The sequence below is a fragment of the Homo sapiens genome, chromosome 1 (assembly GCF_000001405.40).
Source record: "Homo sapiens chromosome 1, GRCh38.p14 Primary Assembly".
In the NCBI taxonomy this organism is placed as follows: Eukaryota; Metazoa; Chordata; class Mammalia; order Primates; family Hominidae; genus Homo; species Homo sapiens.
Genome location: NC_000001.11, coordinates 172,168,915 through 172,191,399, shown reverse-complemented (window position 1 = coordinate 172,191,399; position 22,485 = coordinate 172,168,915). Strand labels below are relative to the sequence as shown.

Here is a 22,485-nt window from a genome sequence, read left to right as displayed (position 1 = left end):
ATGGTACTGGTACCAAAACAGAGATATAGACCAATGGAACAGAATAGAGCCCTCAGAAATAATACCACATATCTACAATCATCTGATCTTTGACAAACCTCACAAAAACAAGAAATGGGGAAAGATTCCCTATTTAATAAATGGTGCTGTGAAAACTGGCTAGCCATAGGTAGAAAGCTGAAACTGGATCACTTCCTTACACCTTATACAAAAATCAATTCAAGATGGTTAAAAGACTTAAATGTTAGAACTAAAACCATAAAAACCCCAGAAAAAAACCTAGGCAATACCATTCAGGACATAGGCATGGGCAAGGACTTCATGACTAAAACAACAAAAGCAATGGCAACAAAAGCCAAAATTGACAAATGGGATCTAATTAAACTAAAGAGCTTCTGCACAGCAAAAGAAACTACCATCAGAGTGAACAGGCAACCTACAGAATGGGAGAAAATTTTTACAATCTACCTGTCTGACAAAAGGCTAATATCCAGAATCTACAAAGAACTTAAACAAATTTACGAGAAAAAATCAAACAATCCCATCAAAAAGTGGGCAAAGGATATGAACAGACACTTCTCAAAAGAAGACATTTGTGCCACCAACAGACACATGAAAAAATGCTCATCATCACTGGCCATCAGAGAAATGCAAATCAAAACCACAATGAGATACCATCTCACACCAGTTAGAATGGCAATCATTAAAAAGTCAGGAAACAACAGGTGCTGGAGAGCATGTGGAGAAATAGGAACACTTTTATACTGTTGGTGGGACTGTACACTAGTTTAACCATTGTGGAAGGCAGTGTGGCAATTCCTCAAGGATCTAGAACTAGAAATACCACCATTTGACCCAGCCATCCTATTACTGGGCATATACCCAAAAGATTATAAATCATGCTGCTATAAAGACACATGCAGACGTATGTTTATTGTGGCACTATTCACAATAGCAAAGACTTGGAACCAACCCAAATGTCCATCAATGATAGACTGGATTAAGAAAATGTGTCACATATACACCATGGAATACTATGCAGCCATAAAAAAGGATGAGTTCATGTCCTTTATAGGGACATGGATGGAGCTGGATACCATCATTCTGAGCAAACTATCGCAAGGACAGAAAACCAAACACCGCATGTTCTCAATCATAGGTGGGAATTGAACAATGAGAACACATGGACACAGGGTGGGGAACATCACACACTGGGGCCTGCCGGTGGGGGTGCAGGGAAAAGGGAGGGATAGCATTAGGAGATATACCTAATTTAAATGATGAGTCAATGGGTACAGCACACCAACATGGGACATGTATACATATGTAACAAACTGCACGTTGTGCACATGTACCCTAGAACTTAAAGTGAAAAAAAAAAAAAAAAAGAAATGTGATTCCCAATGTTGGAGGTGGGGCCTAATGGGAGGTCATTTGATTATGGTGATGGAACCCTCATGAATGGGTTAGCACTATCCTTTTGGTGATAAATAAGTTCTTGCTCAGTTAGTCCATGTGAGTTCTGGTTGTTTAAAGGAGTCTTGGACCTCCCCCTTCTCTCTTTCTTGCTCCCTCTCTCAACATGTCACAGCACCTGCTCCCCTTTCACCTTCTGCCATGGTGGTAAGCTTCCTGAGACCCTCACCAGAAGCAGATGCTGGAGCCACACTTGTACAGCCTGCAGAACTGTGAATTGATTAAATCTCTTTTCTTAGTAAGTTACCCAGCCTCAGGTATTTCTTTATAGTGACACAAAAATGGGCTAATATAGTCATCTACGTTAGCACCCCAAAAATAAATACATAAATACTTAGATATGCTTCTACTAACATATGAAAAAGATCTATATGAGGAAAATGAAACTCTAGTGAAATAAATCAAAGAAGACCTCAATAAATGGTGGGAAATTCCATGTTCATGAATAGGGAGACTCAATTACATTAACATGTCTATTTTCCTCAACTTGATCTATAGATTAAATGCAATCCCAATTAAAATAATAGCAAGTTATCTTGTAGATATTAACAAACTGCTTGTAAAACTTACATAGAAAAATAAAAGACTCAGAATAGCCAACATAATACTCAAGAAGAAGAATCAGAGACTGACACTACTCAAATTCAAGATTTACCATAAAGCTATAGTAATAAAGAGAGTATGGTATTGGTGAAAAACTAGGCAAACAGATCAACGGAACAACATAAGAGCCCAGAAACAGACCACACAAATCTAGTTAACTGATCTTGGACAAAGGGAAAAAGGCAATTCAATAGAGAAAGGATAGTCTTTTCAACAAAAGATGCTGAAAGAACTATAAGTCTACTCGAAAAAGAACTGCATGTACACAGTGACCTCACACTTTTTACAAAAATTAATTCAAAATGCATCACAGACTTAGACACAAAACACAAAATTATGAAACTCTTACAAAATAACATAGGAGAAAATCTAGGGGAACTTGGGTTTGGTGAAGAGTTTTAAGGTATAACATCAAAATCACAATCCATGAAGAAAAAAATAAGTTGGGCCTCCTTAAATTAAAAAACTTGACAATGCCAAATAGAGATAAACATGCAAAGGAACAGGAACTCATATTCGTTTCTGGAAGGAATGCAAAATGATGCAGCCACCTGTAAAGATAATTTGGTAGTTTCTTACAAAACTAAACGTAGTCTTACCATATGATGCAGCAATTATATATAATCCTAGGTATTCACCCAAATGAATTTAAAACATGTTCACACAAACACATGCATATAAATGTTTAGAGTAGCTTTTTTCATAATTGCCAAAAAACTGCAAACAGCCAAGATGTCCCTCTATGGGTGAATGGGTAAACAAACTGTGGTACAACCAGACAATGGAATATTATTTAGCAATAAAAAGAAACAGTGACAAGAGGGGCAGATTTTTAAAAAAGAAGAAATCTCCACCCTGTGGTCTAGTGGTTAGGAGTTGGTGCTTTCGTCATGACAGCCCAGGTTCAATTCCTGGTTAGAGAGCCAGTCCCATTTGTTGAAAATCCAGGCAAGGTGGTGCAAACCTGGATTCCCAGCTACTCAGGAGGCTGAAGCAGGAAAACCACCTGAGCCTAAGGAAAAGAAATCTGGAGACGTTAGTCTAACTCCTAATAGTTCTGCTACCTGAGATGTCATTTAGCCATCCTGGCCTCAGTTTCATTACTTGTGAAATAGGAGTAATATCAGAATTGCCAAGACAAATTGATGGATTTTCAAAGTGTATAAATACACAAAATAAAGAAACAAAATTTCTGGAAAGCAAATAAATTTGTCAGTTTAATCACATATTACATACATACACACACATACTTTTGGAATTCAAGGCATATTTTTTATTGAGTTTTGTTCTTAGTAGACATATATAGTGGGTTTGGGGTTTATATTAATTGTCTTTACCTTTTCATTGCTTACTTTATACTATTTGAATAAAGTTAAAGGTGACCTAAAGCAAGATTATTTCTCTAAAGCTGCAAATAAAGGAACTGAGAAACCAGGACAAAGAATCATTCCTGATATAAGGAAACAGGAGAAGTGAAGAGCAACAGGATATTCAGAGAAACATGAAATCTCATATGATCTGAATTTTCTTCTGTAGAAAGAAGAAAAATAGGAAAGGAGAAAAAGTGATTTTCTTAACATTTGTAACAATGCAAACCATCTTTGAGGGACAAGATGGAGAAGAACCTTAAAATGAGGAGGCACAAGTGCCACGCAACCCCACCTCCATGCATCTGCTGTCACATATTAAGGACCCCTGAGCACTGAAGACAAACAAAAACAAAAATAAGGCTACTATCCATTCTCAAGAAAATATAGTCTCATTGAATAGATCAGGTCTATACCCAGAAGAATAATTTTTAAAAGTAAAGGATGAACCACGTTTGGAAAGAACAGCACTTACTACCAGGGAGGGAAGAAAAGAAGGGCTCAGGGCAGAGGCAGTGAAGATCTTCACTGTGTAACTGTAATTACCATTCTAAAGAATCTGATGCAAGTATATTATAATGCTAAGATTGTATTAAAATGGGTGTTATTTCTATTCTCCATTTATATATGTATTAAAATATTTTATAGTAAAAATTAATTTACAAATAAACCAAAAGAGAGAAAAATGAATATCATATTGCTGATACAAAGCGTAAGTGGTGTGAAAAATCTGAGAGTGATCACTCTGGACTGCTGGTGGGAAAAGGCAGATGGGACAGACTCTCATGCAAAGAAAAGAGGGAGAAAAGAAAACCTTCCCAAACCTACAAGTGAGCCTTGGAAAAAGTAATGACATAAAGTTGTGAGGTTCCCTCCAGGGAGGTCTTCTGACACTTAAGAGGCAGGCAGAATAAGAAGAGAACAAATCATGTGCAAAGATATTTCCTTTCAACATTAAGGTGACTCGGCCATGGAGAGTAGCTTCTCAGAGAGGACAACCTGGATGGTGAGGTTTTCAGAGCTTAGAGACACAAACCCTCCATAGCTAGGGTTCACAACCCATGATCCATGAACAATCTTCAAGATGGGGGAGTCTTCAGAAATCAATCTGTGAATGTGTGCAATAGCCTAAGGAAAACATCTATAACTCCTACGATGTTCTTAAATGTTTACAGAACTTCAAAAAGTTAAAGAACAACTGGTAGAGATGAAAAATACTTCCAGGCTGGCAAATGATGCTCTCAAAACTTTCTATCACCAATTGATTCTGATTCCTTCAGTGAGAGGGGGCTGACCATCAATAGAGGGTGAGAAGTCCCTTGAAGAAGCAAGAAGTAGCAGCCTTTGTATCAAAAGAGGCAGATGCCTGGATTCTGGACCTCTCAAAAATAACCAAAACTTTGCTCTAAATCCATGTCATCTTCAAAAGGGGGGGACAGCATTGTCCTTCTAAATTATTTCCCCTTTTATATTATATCTCTTCTATATTATTTTACCCACGATTGGTACTACCTTAAGGTGGTCAGGAGAATGGAAACTGCATTTCATCATTACAAAGTTAAAAAAAAAAACAGCAACTGACACAGGGTTAACAACCAAGTCCACATTCCCAAACCCTTGTTCAGCTCTCTAGGTCATGTTGCCTTTCTGGGTTATATCTCCACATTTCTTGGAATTTGTAACCGACGTTTAAATTAACTTTTAAGCACTCTGCACTTTGAGGTAAAGTTGGTTGGTCGTAAGCAAAAATAACTTCAAAGTCTGAAGTCCTCACTCCCTTTTGGTCCCTAAGCACCCAAAAGATGTTCTGTCATCCCCCAAACTCTGGAATGTCTTCCCAGGAAGTGAGTTAAAATCACATTTCTCCTTATTCCCATTTTTATTGTAATTATTGATTAACAATAAATTGGTTTCTTGCTTCTCACATTTTTGCCTTTCTGCCTTGCAAATGAGTTTTATCATGCAGGAGACCAATTATAAAACAATGTAAAATATAACAACTGTTCATAATATGACTGCTTGGAATTAAAAAACAATTTTTATTTGAGGATGGGCCAAATTCGTCAGACAAAAAAGTCAAAATGTGGCTCCTAAGACATTTCTCCAGGCTTATTATGACAGTGGAACTAATCAATAAACCCTTCTATATTATTTTATTCCCAGTTTCAAAACCAGCTATGAAATAAACTTAGTTGACTTAGATTATTCAGCAGTTGTTCTTATCTAGCTATGAAGCAGTGTTTGCAATACATTTACAATAGAACTTCACAAAATGGATAAACAATTACCAAAGTCTAGAAAAATGATTCCTAAGTGCACAAACACATTAAAAATCTTCTGTTTAGGCCAGGTTGCTATATAATTCTGAATAGAGTGTGACCTTGCTTCCCTCAGAGGCTCTTTGGAATTTGGCTCTGATTTCAGCCTTTCCTCTGCCAAGCATATAGAATGAATTAGGTGAAGCTCTGTTACAAATGCACCCCACCCACAATGGTTTCCAATAGAGAGCTAAATGTTTTAAAACCACAGTTCAACTTAAATGTAAAAATGGTTCTGCTTTCAAAATTGAGTTTCACTTCCCTTTGTCTTGTGCTCACCCCTTTTTCTCTGCATTCCAATTCTACTCCCCAGTGAGAGAATAAAATTGGAACAAATGTAAACAGGAAACCTAAAGTAAACAGTCTAAATGCATATTTCTAGTCTTTAATTTCAGGTATTCACACACTGAAGGGGCCTCTTTCAATCTCACTGCCGATGCAAATAAAGGAGGCATTAGGAGCTTCCCTCAATTCCATCTTAGCTTTAGTACCCAGAGTCCGTCAAAGACCACTGAGGCAAAGAGCAAAACCTACTTATCTTCAGGACCCAGCATGAACACTGAGTGAGAGGAGCTGCCCCTATGTGTTGACTAAGTTTCCAGCCTCCCTTTTTTTTTCCAAATCACTTTACTTCTATTCCAGATGTTCGATGCTCTCTTAGTGTTCCAATTCTCAGCTGTTACAAAGACAGCATCTCATGAATTAATTTATTATATGGTATAGGGTGTGCAAAAGAAAGAACATGGGCTTGCTGGCAGACCAACTAGGGGATCAAATCTCAGCTACACAGTTCATTCCCTTAAGAGGGTGACAGGAAAGCGATGAACTTCTCTAATATTTGGATTCTACATTTGTAAAACCCCAAACCCAAGTCTGCAATGAGAATGCACATATCAAGTCCATGGGTCAGATTCCGTACTTAATAAACTCTAAGATGATTTTTCCTCCTTTCCCATTCCTGGGCTTACACATCCCAGAAGTATTTGTCTTTTAAAGTAGACAATATGAAGAGAGCAACATTCAACAGAAACAATGAATTTCTTAAAAAGGCAAGTTAGGCCCTGAGCACCTAGCCTGGGGACATATTCTGGGATATTACCATACCCTCCAGATTGTGCTGCTCATTACTGTGTTGAGGGTCATTGTTTAGAAGGGAGGATAAAATTTCTCAATTTCTAAAAAAAATTAATTTCAAATTCCTACTTTTCAATCACCAACTCCCAACTGCAGAAAAACTGCTGTGTCTCTGCAGATGGGTTTTATTTTATGTAGTGGGTATGTCTTACAAGAACTGTGCAATTTAAATGGTGGTCAATGTAATGATATTTTCCATGTTTATTTTGTGATAATTTTCTTTGCTTGTTTAACAGTTCAGGTTGTCTGATGCTATATTCAGACTACATATCTAAATTCTCCATCAGTGTGTCTGGGATTGTTTGAGTTCTTAGTAGGTTTTAACATCATTTAATGAGAAGATTTAGAAAACATTGCAACAATAAACCTAATGAACTTCACAACTTGTGAGGTGAGCAGGATAGGGATCCTCACGCTACTTTGCAGAAATAAAATTGAGATAAAGCAACTAATCCAAGGTCAAGCTATTACTTGAGTGTAACTGAGCCAAGAACATAGATTTTGCTATTATTGTTATGATTGCTGTTGTTTTGAGTACTAGAATATTAATTTCTATTACACTGCTGATTCTCTAGAAAAAAAAAAAAACTTTGAAGCCAGGTGTATTGGCTCATGCCTGTAATCCCAGCACTTTGGGAGGCTAAGGCAGAAGGAACACTTGAGCCCAGGAGTTCAAAATCAGCCTGGTGAAACCCTGTTTCTACAAAAAAAAAAAAAAAAAAAAAAAAAAAAAATTAGCTGGGCATGGTGGTGCAACCCTGTAGTCCTAGCTACTCAGGAGGCTGAGGTGGGAGCATTGCTTGGGCCCAGGAGGTGGAGGCTGCAGTAAGCCATGATTGCATCACTGCACTCCAGCCTGGGTGACAGGGTGAGACCCTATCACAAAAAATAAAAAAATTTAAAAAAGTTTGAATGTATTTACCAAAATAATTGGCAATAATTTTAAGCAACTAACATGTTTTATCATCTGCCAGACCAAGCACATTCCTTACTTTAAAAACTCCACAATGTTTCAGTGTATTTGGGTTTTGAAACCCAGAATCACTGTATTTTCCTTATACTGGTACACAGATAATTCTTAGTATTTATTTGCCAAGTCTTCACTTATGACATCAAAATTTAATTTGTGTTAAAAAAACTTTGTATAATATAGAATATTTTCAACATCATGATATTATATCCATAAAGTGTGTGAAACCAATATATTGAACTTTCCCAGAAATTATTTGTGTTTGAAACCAAAACTGGCTAAATAAAATATATCTCTATTGGGTAGTATGTGGAGACGATATGGAGAATAACAGGCATGATCTAGAGATGGTGCTGTATGTGCATATCTGTATTAATACTGAAACCAGTGATCTTCTCATCCCCTTTCCCTCTCTATGGCCATCACTTCCCACTAAACTTTTGGCGTCTGGGACAGGACAGTGCCTTTCTGTACCTAGCTCCCTTTAGTTAAAAAGTTGCCTTTTTACCAGTTCTTGGTAAAGGAACTAAGAAATTTTTTTTGATAGAAACTATACTCAGTTGTCATGATTATTAAAATTGGACTTTAAATAATTACCTGCACAATTGGAATGATACTACATTATCAATACTTACTCTCAAAATAAAGTGCTGATACTATTCTCATATTGAAGTCACCAATTGCAGGAAAACTGACGATTGGGGTCCTTAAGCCTTCCTGCAATGGTATAAAAGATTGGGTATTCAACTTTTTCTACTTTTGTTTTCTCTCTTTGAATAAAAACAGAAACACAATCTTAGGACTCTGTGCCTAATGAGGCCCAGAATTTGAATTTTCAGGCAGTCTCTGAGGACAATGCAGATAGAGGGAGGGGCATGCAGAGCAGAAGGCCTCTCTATGCTCCACTTTAGTGAGTACCTCTGAGCAGGTTCATTGCAATTCATTTCATCTTTATTTTTGTCCTTAAACAGAGTAGGAGAAAAGCAAGTCTGTGGAGAACATTTTATTGAAATGAGTTGGATTTATTGCTGGACTTGGTTATCTTGTTTTTGAGGAAATATTTGCATTTGAGGGAAAAAGTGTGTTTTATTACTTCATCTCTAGTACCATTTAAGGTATGTAATGATGGTTAGACATCAACCTGCAAAATATTTCTTCAGAGCACCCTGTCCTCTAGCTTCTCATATCCCAGTGATGCCAGATCCTAAATTAATTTCATGCACACAAACTCAACATTATTATCTCCATTTTTATGCTTTATCTAGTGAGTTAAGCATCTTAGAGAAATCGTTTTTTTGTTTGTTTGTTTCCCCTAACTGATCTTGGACAGACTGTTAAAAAAAAAAAAACTATAAAATGTTGTCACATTTTTTTCCTCTTGACCAGACTTCACGTCCCAGCTTGATGACCTTCACACTACAATAATGTTGCCTATTTCTAATAGTAAAAAGTTCCAGTTCGTTATAACCAAAAACTCAAAGAAATCGACTATCAGTCTTGAAACCCCTTACATATTATCTTTAAATAGAGTTCATAAAGTTGTGGCAACACCCACCAAAAACAGACATGAGGCAGATTGATTCATCAGCACCTAATGAGTTAATTAAGAAACAAAAATACAAGAACACACAGAATTATGGCCAGCCTGGCCTTGCTTATTCAGTTTTAGTCAGAGACCACAACTTCTTTCAAATAACCCCAGTTTATTTTCAAAAAAAAAAAAAAAAACCCTGTCTTCAGACAGGATATGGGGGAGGAGTTAAGTGGTGATGTTTTACACATGCACATCTGGATACAGTCCAATTATTTCCCTTAAACATTCCCCCAGTTGTTTTCATTTTGCTCCATGCTTTGGCATTCATAAATTTGTGAGATTAATTGTGTGTCAGCAGTCTGCAGGCCTGGAGCTGGGCACCAGTTTAGTAGCAATACGGCTACAAAACAACTCTGTAGAGAAATACGTTCACATATTTAAAAAGGAAAGCATAGTCACATAGTTCGTTTCTGTTTAATATCAGGCATTGACGTTATGCATAAAGAAGGTAGTGTAATCTTTCAGGGAATTGCCCTAATAGCAAGATATATATAGATATATATCTCCACGCCTACCAGAAATATGTGTGTGTGTGTGTGTGTGTGTGTGTGTGTGTGTGTGTAAACTCAAGTGTTTTAAAGCATAAGAAAGGATTCATCAAGAGGAAAAATGAAGAGTTCAGGGCTGGACATATTTGTGTTCCTTGTTTTCATCTGATTATTTTGAAGGGCGTGTCAACAGATTGCATTTCTTGTCTTGGAAATGTACTAACAATTAAAATCACCTTTGCCAAAAAGAACCAACTTATCTTAGAGATGGTGGAGAAGCATCTTTATTTTAAAAGATGTTTTGCAAAGCCTCTTATGCTTTCAAAATTACTATATGAAAAGTGAAACTAGAAGCTTTCTGCCCTGATGTGTAGGCCTCACAGTCCAGATTATGAGCTCAGCTAAGGAAGAGCTGTGTTCCCCAGAGCCCAGCGGAGTGGCGGCACTTGGTAAGTGCTCCGTACTTGCCAGTTGACAACAAAAGAACTATCATTTAAATGTTGGTAAACAGATATTTATTCTTGTTTAATGTTATTTTGCCTTATATCCATGAGTAGGAAATAAACTATTAGATATTGTGACATTTTTCACAAGTAAATGCCACATGCCAAAGTAAGGTAATAGGTAGGGCAAATTTTCATACATATACATAACAGAGGAGAGTGTTCCAGATTAAAGTTCTGAGATTTGCAACATCAGTATTGGGAGGAAACTGGCAGCTTCTCCTCTAACCCTCTACAGAAACACAAAACAGCTATTGGAAACATGTAGAGCATTCCTCTGGAAAATAATTAGGCTTCAAATAAATCATATGCTATTCCTGCAATAAAAGAAGGAAACTTTTTATGATCTTCTGTTTTCCCTCAAGTATGCTATATGTTGAGAAGTTTTACCTAAATCACACTGTATTCTAGCAGTAAGCTCTTAATTATATAAGAAATAAAATGCATTGCAGATATTACAATGAATCCACTTGTCCTTAGACTATTTATCTATCAGAATATTTTCTAGGCCAATATATTTGAAGGCTACTGAGAAAATCACACACTGTTCTTTGGCTTTAGTTTCCTTGTGAGTAAAATGAGGTGCATAATCTCAGCCCTATCTACGATACAGGGTAAAAGTCAGGATCTAACGAGTGAAATTGGTAAACCATAAAGAACAAACAAGTGTTGGTTAGCATGCAGTAAACATACAAACTCTCCTACTCATGGTTCTGTATTGAAAAACCGAAATACATAGTATCTTATTCTTTACATAAATTAATTTACTGATCTTGAGACCTAACTGAATCATGATAGTATATCCACATAGACTAGATTTGTTCCTACAGGGCAAACTGCCATGCATTCATGCTAAACTATACAAGAGCAGCCAGGTAACAGAAGGCAATGCTGCTTCAAAAACACTGCAAATTTGACTCAGAACTCAGAGACACGGTATGATATTTGTAACATATTTACAGATACAATTAGGCTTTACTGAAGCTAATTGATTTTCACCACCTGAGCTTATTATCTACTAATGGTAGGGTTCTAGTCGTCTAATCCCTGCTATGTACGCCATGGGCGAAAATCTAATTAACCTCTCAGAGCCTTAGTTTTTTAATACATAAAAAAGTAATAACACCTGCTCTGATGAAGCTATTGTGAAGATTAAAATGTGAGATATGAAGAAGTGCTTTTACAGAGTAGTCACCCAGTACTTATTGGTTATATCTAAAAATTATTGAATCTGTATTCCCAAAACTATGCTGGAAAATAAGTCCAGAATTAAATAAGGCCACAAATAATCCAAGCAGAAATGATCCGGCATAGCATCATTAAAATATACACACATATTTATAAATATTGCCTGTATACATTTTTCTTAGAAAGTCCATGTAAGTTATACAGAAGCTGAAATAAACCATAGCAAAAAAAACTTCTCCCCTCTTCTCAATGACATCTTGAATTTAGCAGTTCTTATTTTATTTTAGTAGAATAATACTTCTATTAAATCACTTTAATGATAATTATAATTAATACTTATATAATCCTTTAACTTTTCAAAGCACGTTCATACCAATTATTTTCTTTTGGTTTCCAAACAACATTATGAAAATATAATCTTGAATTTAATACCAGTTAAATACTAGTGGGAGTAACAAACTTTGTCAAAACTAAGATGCAATAACACTACTCAGAAAAGCTTTGCAACACAACCAGTGGCCAAATTCCACTTCATTACATGTAGATCACAGTCCACAAATGACAATCAGTCACCACTAATAATAAACAAAAAATTTTTGGATTCTAGTCCAGGCAGGAGAATGCTTTTCATGAATGCAAAATTAGAGGTGACATTCTGAAAGTAGGCTCCACAAAACAACTAGCTCAGCATTCTAAGTCCAGTTTCATTCAAAGTACACACAGATAACTACTATCACCGCCCTGGCTTTAGAGTATTAGCTCACCCAGCAGTTCAAAGCATTCCTTATATTTTAGACTAGAGGAGGATCACCATTTTTGCTCTATTTTATGGACTGAGACATAAAGCGATAGAGACATGCCCATGGAGCTGGAATAAGACTTATTCTATTTCATCTCCATAAGGTGACCCCTTAACCCCCTGCAATCTAGCTTCTGTCTTTACCATTGTATTGACAATGAAATCCTAAAGATCACTGATGATCAACTAATAATCAAACCCAGTGACTTACTCTTTCTTCCTTTCATTGATATCTCTGTAACATCAGCTTGAAGTTGAAGTAAACCAGGGTCCATTCTCTGTCTCTCTTTCTCTCTCTGTTTTGCTCTCTTGCTGTATCTCTTGCACACCCTTTCTCTCTGTCTCTCTCCCTCTCTTCATCATCACGGCATGCACTATCTTACTACCTTGCTTCTTTTAACTGCTTCATCTATGTTCATTCCTATCCCTTCCTTACTTGTGGATTCTCTGACTTACACATCAACCTCCTACTCCCCTCTCCAGTCATCTTCACTTCATATATGTAAAAAATTTACTACTGTACTCTCAGAATTATACAGACTCAAGTACATAATAAATACTCAATAAATATTTTTAAATAAATGAATAAATTACTCTCAATGGAAAAATCAATCTCTGGACACTTTCTTAAGATTTAAGTTTATTTTTTAACACCAGTGTGTTGGATGGATTGGAATTGGATTTTTTTCTTCTTCTTATTACAGCCATATGCCACATAACCACATTTTAGTTGAGAAGAGACCACACCTTCAATGACAGTGGTCTCATAAGATTATATGACAGTATTATTACTGTAGCTTTTCCTCTGTTTAGATATGTTTAGATACACTAATACTTAGCACAGTGTTACAATTGCCTACAGTATCCAGTACAGAAACAGGCTTTACAGGTTTGTAATCTAGGAACAAAACAAACAGCCTAGGCATGTAGTGGGCTAGACCATCTAGCTTTGTGTAAGAACACTCTATGATGTTTGGACAACAAAGAAAGCGCCTGATAACACAACTTTTAGAATATAATTATATCGTTAAGCAATGTATGACTGTATATTCATTGGGCACATTAAGGGAAAAAAACCCTATAAAATATAGTATTTACCACAGGATAATACTGAGGATGTGCATGACCTTTAGGAAGATCCAATGGAGACATTTCTCTCAGATTGTGTTTGTCTTATGGATACCAAAACCACATCACTGTTAGCATTTCCCCTGGGTTGGCTATAAGTCCACTCAGAGCCAAAGTGCTTTATAACACACAGTTAGGTATCTTTTAACATTACTTCCCTTACTCCTATTGTCTCATCCCTAACTCTTACTCTCATCCCGTAATTTTGTCTCTTAGTTATCTTACATTTCTAAGCCCCCACAAGGCAGGTAATGAAGTCCTTTATCCTAAACTTCTTTCTCAACATTTTCAATTATCCAACTTGGTTTTAGAAAGTACAGTAGCGCCCCCACTTCCCCTTATGTGTAGGGGATACATTCCAAGATCCACAGTGGATGTCCAAAACCTTGAATTGTAACAAACCCTAAATATACCATGTCTTTTTTCCCATACATACATAGCTATGATAAAGTCGAATTTATAAATTAGGCACTGTAAGAGATTGATAACAATAATTAATAATAAAATAGAACAATAATAACAATATACTATAATACAAGTTACGTGAATGTGGTGTCTCTCTCTCTCTCTCTCTATTCTTGTACAACACTCACCTATTTTCGGACCACAGTTGACCACAGGTAACTGAAACTGCAAAAGCAAAACCATGGATAAGAGAGGACTACTGCAAAAGAAACTTTGAAAAACTGGCTCTTACTGGAAAAAAATACATTTTCAGAATTATATCATTGTTCTCTCAAACTCAAAACACACCATCGCCAATTCCTCAGTTTCCCTTTGCGTTAAGCACCTTCAGTCACCAAGTCCTACTGAGTTTCTTTGTAGTTTGATCTATGTTCTTTCCTTTCCCTTCCTATATTCATAGCCCTAGAGCAGGCTTTCGTTACAATATCTAATATTATTATCTAAATTTACTACATCTATTTTTCCTCCCTCCAACCTCTTTTCTATAATATATCCAAATAGATCAATCTTGCTATTATTTTGAGTTGGTCACTTCACAGATTAAAAACTTTCTGGGGTTCCCCACTGAGAAGGCAATGAGTCTAGCATTCAAAACTGTACACAATCCCTCTCAACCTACCTTTTCACTCTGTACTAATTAGTTATCTTTTGCTGCATAACAAATTGCCCCCAAACTAAGATGTTTAAAACAGTAAACATTGATTATCTTACATTTCTGTGGGTCAGGAATCTGTAACTGGCTTAGCTAGGTGATTCTAGCTCAGGGACTCCCAGAGATTGCAGTCAAGCTCCTGACTGGAACTGTAATCATCTGAAGATCTGACCAGGGAAACATCCAAGCTCACTAACCTGGCTATTTACAGGCCCTAATTCCTGCCATATTCTGTTGGTCACGGCACTAGTTTCCTATTGCTGCAGTAACAAATTAACACAAACTTGGTGGCTTAATGCAATGCAAATTTATCACCTTACAGTTCTGGAGATCATAAGTCTAAAATGGGTCAGCAGAGCTGCATTCCTATGACCAGCTCTAGGGGAAAATGTTTCCTTCCTTTTCTGGCTTCTAGAAGCTACCTACATTCCTTAGTTCATAGCTTCTTTACTTTCAAAGCCAGAAAAATTGTATCTTCTCTCCTCTCTGACTTCTGCTTCCACCCTATATCTTCTCTTCAACTCTGAATCTACTGCCTCCCCCTTAAACAGACCCTATGATTACACTGGGTTTACCTAGATAATCCAAAATAATCTCTCCATCTCAAAATCCTTAACTTATTCACAAATCACGTGTGCAAAGTCACTTCTGCCATATAAGATAACATATTTACAGGTTCTACGGATTCAAATATGGACACCCTTGGGAGGGTTGGAGGGATTACTTAGCCTACCACAGTTACACAGACCAATCCTGAAACAACATGAGAGGGGATTATAAAGAATGTGTATAGAGACCACTGGAGCATGTCTACCACAAAATCTACCTTCTAACTTTTCCCACTCTTGAGCAAACTTTCATCCTTTTAGCTGGACCTGTCCAATTTCTACCTATCATTAAAATATATCAAATATGTGATAAAGCAAGTATAGTAAAATGTCAACAGTGTGGTAGAGAGCATACTAATATTCAATGTAAAATTCTTTCAACATTTGATCGTGTGAAATTTGTTATAATAAAATGTTTACCAAAAGTGCACCTTAGCTCCCATCTCCTTCACAAAATTTTATTTCTTGCTATTAGTTCTTGGAGGAATCTCCTTCCTCCAGTTTCTTATTTGTACTTATTATCTATACCACTTACTTAGCTTCAAAGAATATGGGATTTCTAACATCACTGAAATTAAATATATGAATGGATACTTCCATTTCTTACTGTCAGGTCTTTAAGAAATTAGGATCATACCTTACATTTTCTCTATTTTTCCCATGGCACAATCTACAACTATAGTAAGTATTCAATGATAACTAATGGATAAATCAATATTAACAGGTTTTGAGGCACTGAAATATATGATTTCCCTGCTATATCAGTTTACTTGTAATCACTTGTAAAAATTAAAGAAGAAAACAAAGGTTTATACATAATTAGTAAAAGAAGATTATTGTTTGCAAATAAAGATATTACTGATTCAGAGCCAGTGTGTGTGCTTTTCATTATTTTTCCAAAAGTAGGAATACATTTCTGCTGATCCAGTCATACTCATCTCCTTGTCTCCCGTGTGAACAACAGCAGTATTTTGTAAGGTGCCTGGCTAAAGTCAGGAGAGGGTATATGGCCATTAGATTGGTAAACTGTTGTTAGAAATAAAATTCCCTGGTACTTGTTTTGTTAGAATGCTGTATGCTTCAATGAACTAAATTTACTCCATATGAAATAAGATAATAATTTTTAAAAATCAGTATATCCACAACTTGATGCTGATCCCACTATTCGACTTTCTGTTCTTGAAAGATATAAAGCCACTTAGATAAATTATGGAAACTTTCTGAACCATTTTGTGATATCTTATTCAGAAAATATTTGTTAATATTCATAATGAATTCCTATTGTAGTTTCCCTCAATGTTAGAGAGTAAACCTGAAACAGCAATATCCTTCACCCATTTGTGAAAATATAAAACACAAAATGATCTACTTGCAGTCTACATACCATTCATAGGATAGTCTGCCAATCTTCCCTCAGTAGACATCATTACTAACACATATGTTGCATGCTTTTTCTGATATAAGGTAAATTAACAAGTGATATTAAAGAGTAAGAAGAGAAAACATCAAGCACAACACCAACTCTAACACTGAGACATTTGTTAAAAAATGTCAGCCAAGGAAGATAAATCAACAACGTGTAACTTGTCAGTCCCTTCTAAACCAAACAGCAAAAATCAAGAGTGGGTATCCAAGTCTCAGATGTAGCCAAGGAAAAAAGTGTTTTTTGGTCTGAAATCTTCCTCCATCATTTATGGACAAATTTATTTCAAAACAGAGCATATTCACGATGGATCCACAGTTCAGCAGGACAGGTCTCAAAACCTTGGATTTAAAATTTAAACTTAGGTTCCATTAATTTATATTTCCTTCCTAAGCTGATGGACTCAAGCCCAGGAAAAAAAGGAGAAAAAAAAATCATTCTATACTCAACCATCAAATTTGTTTCAGGTTCGGCTACTGTACTTTTAAGAAATATTTTCTAATATTCTAAAGCATAGTCTTCATTTTGCAGAGTGTATATTTTATAAAGAATAACATAATTTATATTTCTAGTCAATGAAATCAACAGAGCTAGTTTTTCTTATTAACATACTATTATGACATACTATTATTAACATACTATTTTCTTATTAACATACTACTATGGTATCACCAGTAACTCATCATAATTTCAAGTTTGGCATTCCAGAGTTATGGATTTCTAGTTTGGTATTCCTCTTAGGTATTTGGCTTTTAAATACTATTGTCCTGGCTTGGTCCTGGCCATATATGATCCAGAAGACTTAAGCTGCAGAGATCTCCAGTTAGGGATGAATATGCTTTATGTTCACCGCAAAATATAAAATTATAGGCCAAGCAAAATTAATGAATATTAAATCCTTGAAAGGCAAACATTAATGCTAAGAATTATCTCAACTATTAACCCTAAACTTCAATACTTTTAATGAGAAGTAAATCTAACCATAATTTTCTTTCCTTTTTAAATTTACCCTGAAATCATTCCTTGAAATTAGACTTCTCCCTGATTCATTTGGGGACTTCAAGCTCTCTTTTGAGCCTATAATCCCAGTGCTTTGGGAGGTTATAGTGGGAGGATTGCTTGATGTCAGGAGTTTGAGACCAGCTTAGGCAACACAGCAACATAGCAAGACCTTGTTTAAAAAAAAAAAAAAAGCTCTCTTTTGAGACTAAGTTTTGTATTTTCAATTGGATGTCTTCACCTGAATGACTTATATGTGTGTAAATCTCAGTATATCCAAAACTGAAATAATTATTACATTTAACATCCCCACCCCCTGCATCTTCTTCTAGATTCCCTATGTAGTTATTGACACTGCCACTCTGCTCACTTGCTTTAACAAAAACTTTGGCGTCATCCCTGACTCTTCTCTCTCTCAACTCCCTTAGCAACTGCTCATCAATTCTATTACTTTAACATCCCTCTTCCATCCCTGGCTCTCCATCTTCACCGTCAGTGCCTTAGTTCTAGCATCCATCATCTTTCACACATTGCAGTCACTTCTGAAATGTTTTCCCTTTCTCCAAGTTTTCCTCCTTCCAATCCATCCTTCACACCTCTACCAGAATAATCTCTCTAAAATACAAGCCTCATAAAATTGTTTCCTTGCTCAAACCCCTTCCAGAGCTATTCACCACCTGTAATGGTAGCTTACTATCTTTTTATGTGCATAGCACAAATGATAGATAGAATTACTAAAAGAGGTTAAAAGGCCAACAATGGTTAAAAATGCCAAGTTTGGAAAAACTGGAAATGAGTGTATACTCTTCCTTCAGTAGCTCTTCAGCACTGCATCACCGTTTGTTTAAGAAGAAATGTTTTCCCAACCACACATGCTGTCCTGCCTACTCGGGATGGGAAGTGCTTCAATAACTCACTAAATTCCGCAGTTTTTCTTTGGTGGTTGGCTTGGCATTACATCACATCTTGTGTCTTATCTTTATCTCTGATTTACATAGAACTGTACCCTTCTCTATTGGTCACATGACCCACCAACTCAGCATAAGGCTGATATCAATACAGTAGTAAGTATAGTAGTCCCCTTATTCATGGTTTTGCTTTCCCCAAGTTTTACTCTTTTGTGGTCAGCTGTGGTCCAAAAATATTAAATGAAAAATTTCAAAAATAAACAATTCATAAGTTATAAACTGTGCACCAATCTGAGTAGCATGATGAAATCTCCCATCATCCCACCTGGGATATGAATCATCCCTCTGTCCGACGTATCCATGCTGTCTTTGCTAACCACCTGTTAGTTATTTAGTAGCTGTCTCGGTTATCAGATGGAAAAAAAGCATAGTATGCATAGGATTCAGTACTATCTGTGGTTTTAGGCATCTATGCGGAGTCTTGGAATGTAGTCCCTGTGAATTAGGGGGGACTACTGTATTTGCAGATGTAACAAAAATGAATAAGTGAAGGCCTGGAGACACACCTATGAAGAACTTGGGCTTCCTCACTAGGCAGCAGCACCCAAGTTGTTAACTACTTACTGAGAAGATGGAGTTTCAGTTCTTTAGGGGGCTCTCTACCCTTTCCCTGTTACATCCCAGAGGGTTGTTTCCCATCATTCTTCTCACAGCACCCTGTTTACTCCATCAATAAATATTTATCAATTCAATAAGCAGCAAGCACCTCTTACTCAACAGGCACCAGGTGCTGTTCTCCAGTCCCATTCTTTGATGCTCCCAAACCTCCATACTGGAGATTTCTTGTGTCTGGAATATAATCCCCCATCCCCTTTTCTCAGCTTCCCTCTGCAATGAAGAGAATAAAGACTCAATAACTACTATTTACAGAAATTTTTTTGACACTGTCCTATTTACTTCTATCTATCTTGTGAGTACAGAAATTAGCACTACTGAAGATAACCACACGGTAAGTATTGGTTAAGTCAATTTTACAATCATTGTGAGAGATTGTCTTCAGCCTAACCCTTCTGTCTAAGGTTGATATCAACACATTTTCCAAAGCATGATTGTATCTCTTCACTCTACACCAAGGAGAAGCTGGCACTGAGGTCTTTCTGCACAGCAGTTGTAGACAGTATACAGCTACTCTACCTAACTGTTTTAAATGGAAAATGACAAGTAAATAACAAGTTTGGATAAAATGCACAGCTAACCTATTTTCTGTAGTAAATAGGTAGGTGCAGTCATACCTCTCCGAAATGTAACTTTTTACTCAGAGGAACTCATTCTTATATTCAACTCACATACTTTCTTCTGCCTTCTAATGCAAAAACTATTCATATACTTTTATCATACAGCATTCAATTCCATTTAAAAATATATATAATGAATTATTCAATAACATGATCATAATAACTAGAAAGAAAGCATTTTTATTGTTACATGTCCCCAAAAGTCAAAATAGTTGAACTTGAATAAAGAAGGTAATATAGAGTAAGTATAGGGAGGAAGAATCAAGATCAGTAGTTAATTCATACCAGCTACAAACCCTCTTCTGTTTGGAATTATGTGCTATTCCTCACATCTTCCTTTGGACTTATTAGAGCAATTGGAGGTATGTCCTTTGAGGCACAAAACTAATCAATCTCTATTTCTCAGAAGTTATGTTGAAAAGGAGCAAACAAACAAGACCAGCATACAGAAGAGATCATGAATTAAAGAATGGGCAGAAGTTAAAAACTCCAGGCTCATGAAAAATAACGTCACTATTTCTAACAGTATAGAAATATCACCTCAGCCAGATCTTTTTTCCCCTCTATTTTTTAGTTTAGTATAAAATGAAGACAGAGTTGGCATGACCCCTAGAAACTCAGAAATGCAATTTTTCTTCTCCATGATTTAGTTATAAAAAGGTGCAATGCACCAGTCAGTCTTCTTCAAACATGGACTGTGCAAGAATTTATGATGGGATTTGTGGGCAGACTAGAGAAGGTGAGATGTAGAGAATGCCTACTGAAATGCTCCCTGGCTCCTTCAGTCAGAAAAACAAAGCAAACAAAAAAACAGCATTGTGATATGCCATTCATAAATTCTAAACAGATTACCCTAAAATGACTGTCATTAACAAACAATTGTAATACTGACAACAGCAATTAACACTGAAGTTCTTACTATATTTCATTTCCCCATACTAGGAGCCTTACACACATTAACTCATTTAATCCTATTTTCATTCACATTCACATTTTATAGATATGAAACTGAAGAGACCCAGAGATTAAGAACCCAAGTTTCACAGCTAGTAAGTGGTGACCTGACTCCAGAGTGGGCCCCGTGCATCTTTACCCTCCTGCTTTGTTGTTAAATGCTTAAGTCTAGCACATCTGTGTTCACATAGCAGCTTCTCCATTTATTAGCCATGAGACATGAGGCAAGATATCTGACATCCCAAGCCTGTTTCCTTATCTACTAAATGGGAATATTAATGGCACCTCCACTTGATATTGAGAGGACTTAAAAATAAGTATTTAACATATATTAAAGTTCAATGTATATGAATTTAAAACATAAATAGAACAAAACAAAAAACTCTCTAGCTTATCTTCATGTGATATTCTTCTACTGCCTAATCCTTCCCTGCTGAAAACATTGATCTAGAAGCTAGTGCTTTGTAGTGCATAGATCTCTAGCTCCTTCCAAATCTGCTTCCTAAACATACTTAGAAAAAAATGCAACTAAGTTTATAAACAGAGCTTCAAGGGATTTCTTTGCACACTGTAAAACCCAACATTATGCTGTTAAGTTTTGCCCTTGGTTCCTTGATGTTAAAACTGAAAATCAAAATTCTTCAAAAGAAGAAAAAAGAAACAAAATTATGGATAGTTCATTTAAATATCACAACAAACCATTTTTTAGTTATTAGAAACTGATGTTCACATCAAATAACAGCTTAGCCTGACATCACTCAGCCAGTAAATGGAATAATATTAACCTATGTTCATGCCTACAAACATGCTTTCTAGTAAGTCAATCTTGTTCATGAAGTTTTCTTTTAAGTCACCCTAGATCTTTCTGGTTATTATTAATTCTAGTAATATTAATTTCTAGAATTAAATATTCTAGTTAATATAAGCCAAACTCAAAGGCTTATATTAACTACAATATTTTTAAGGGCAATTTGATCAAGGCTCAGTGGCATTAGTGGCCATGGCCTTAGAAGCCAAAAAGTCAGGCTCAACCATTTGAAAACCAAACACCCTTAGGCAAAATGTTGTTTTCCCTAAGACTAAATGCCCAATGATAGGATGAAAAGATTATGGGATTCTTCATGATTTCATGAAAATAACAGAATGAATCATTTTCTTCTGAGAAGCAGCAGTCACAGAGATGTAGCTAAAAAGACAGGACTTGGGGTAATTAGGAGCCCAAGTGGCAAATAAAGGAGTATTTGACCCATTCAAGCTCTGAGAGTACCCAAACTCAGCTCATTCAGGTTGATGGAGAATTGGTAGAGAGGCTTCTTCTTAAAAGTATCTGCAATGGAGGAATATCCCCTCAATATGGAATTTCATTCCAAACAAATTGCAGAAATAGGGAAGGATTCTGTCTTATAAAAAAAATTGCATGGTGATGATAACTGAGCAAGATATACTATGGTGAGCGCTCAAAAGAAAAAAGCTAATGTATATATCCAAAGACTACTACTATTTTCACCATCCCTGACTTATAATTATTTGCACCTTTGAAAATTCAAATGCAAAAGGACCATGTTCGTCTTAAAATGTATGCCAAGTTTCACCTCTTACAACATAGTAGAAAC

The 22,485-nt window shown here is 36.1% G+C and overlaps 1 protein-coding gene across 22 annotated transcripts in view, besides 1 other annotated feature; it reads right to left on the bottom strand.

Annotated features, from left to right (window-relative positions):
* The window catches only part of DNM3 (dynamin 3), a 576,969-nt gene that overhangs the window by 227,067 nt on the left and 327,417 nt on the right, over positions 1-22,485 (bottom strand). Inside the window, exon 16 of one of the 22 annotated variants that reach the window (XM_017000988.2) lies at positions 7,776-8,585. The exons of 20 other annotated variants lie outside the window; for them this stretch is intronic. In XM_017000988.2, coding sequence (XP_016856477.1) covers positions 8,493-8,585 — 93 coding nt within the window. In that variant the 3' untranslated portion in view covers positions 7,776-8,492. Of the gene's footprint in view, positions 1-7,775; positions 8,586-22,485 lie in introns of those variants that run through there. One more of the 22 variants, XM_047417395.1, reaches the window with a different exon arrangement.
* Positions 10,205-10,254: an enhancer, noted in NCBI's record as "active region_2088". NCBI's record gives its function as "activates an Ori minimal core promoter by ATAC-STARR-seq in GM12878 lymphoblastoid cells {active_cell/tissue: GM12878}" and the evidence as "EXISTENCE:reporter gene assay evidence [ECO:0000049][PMID:35858748]".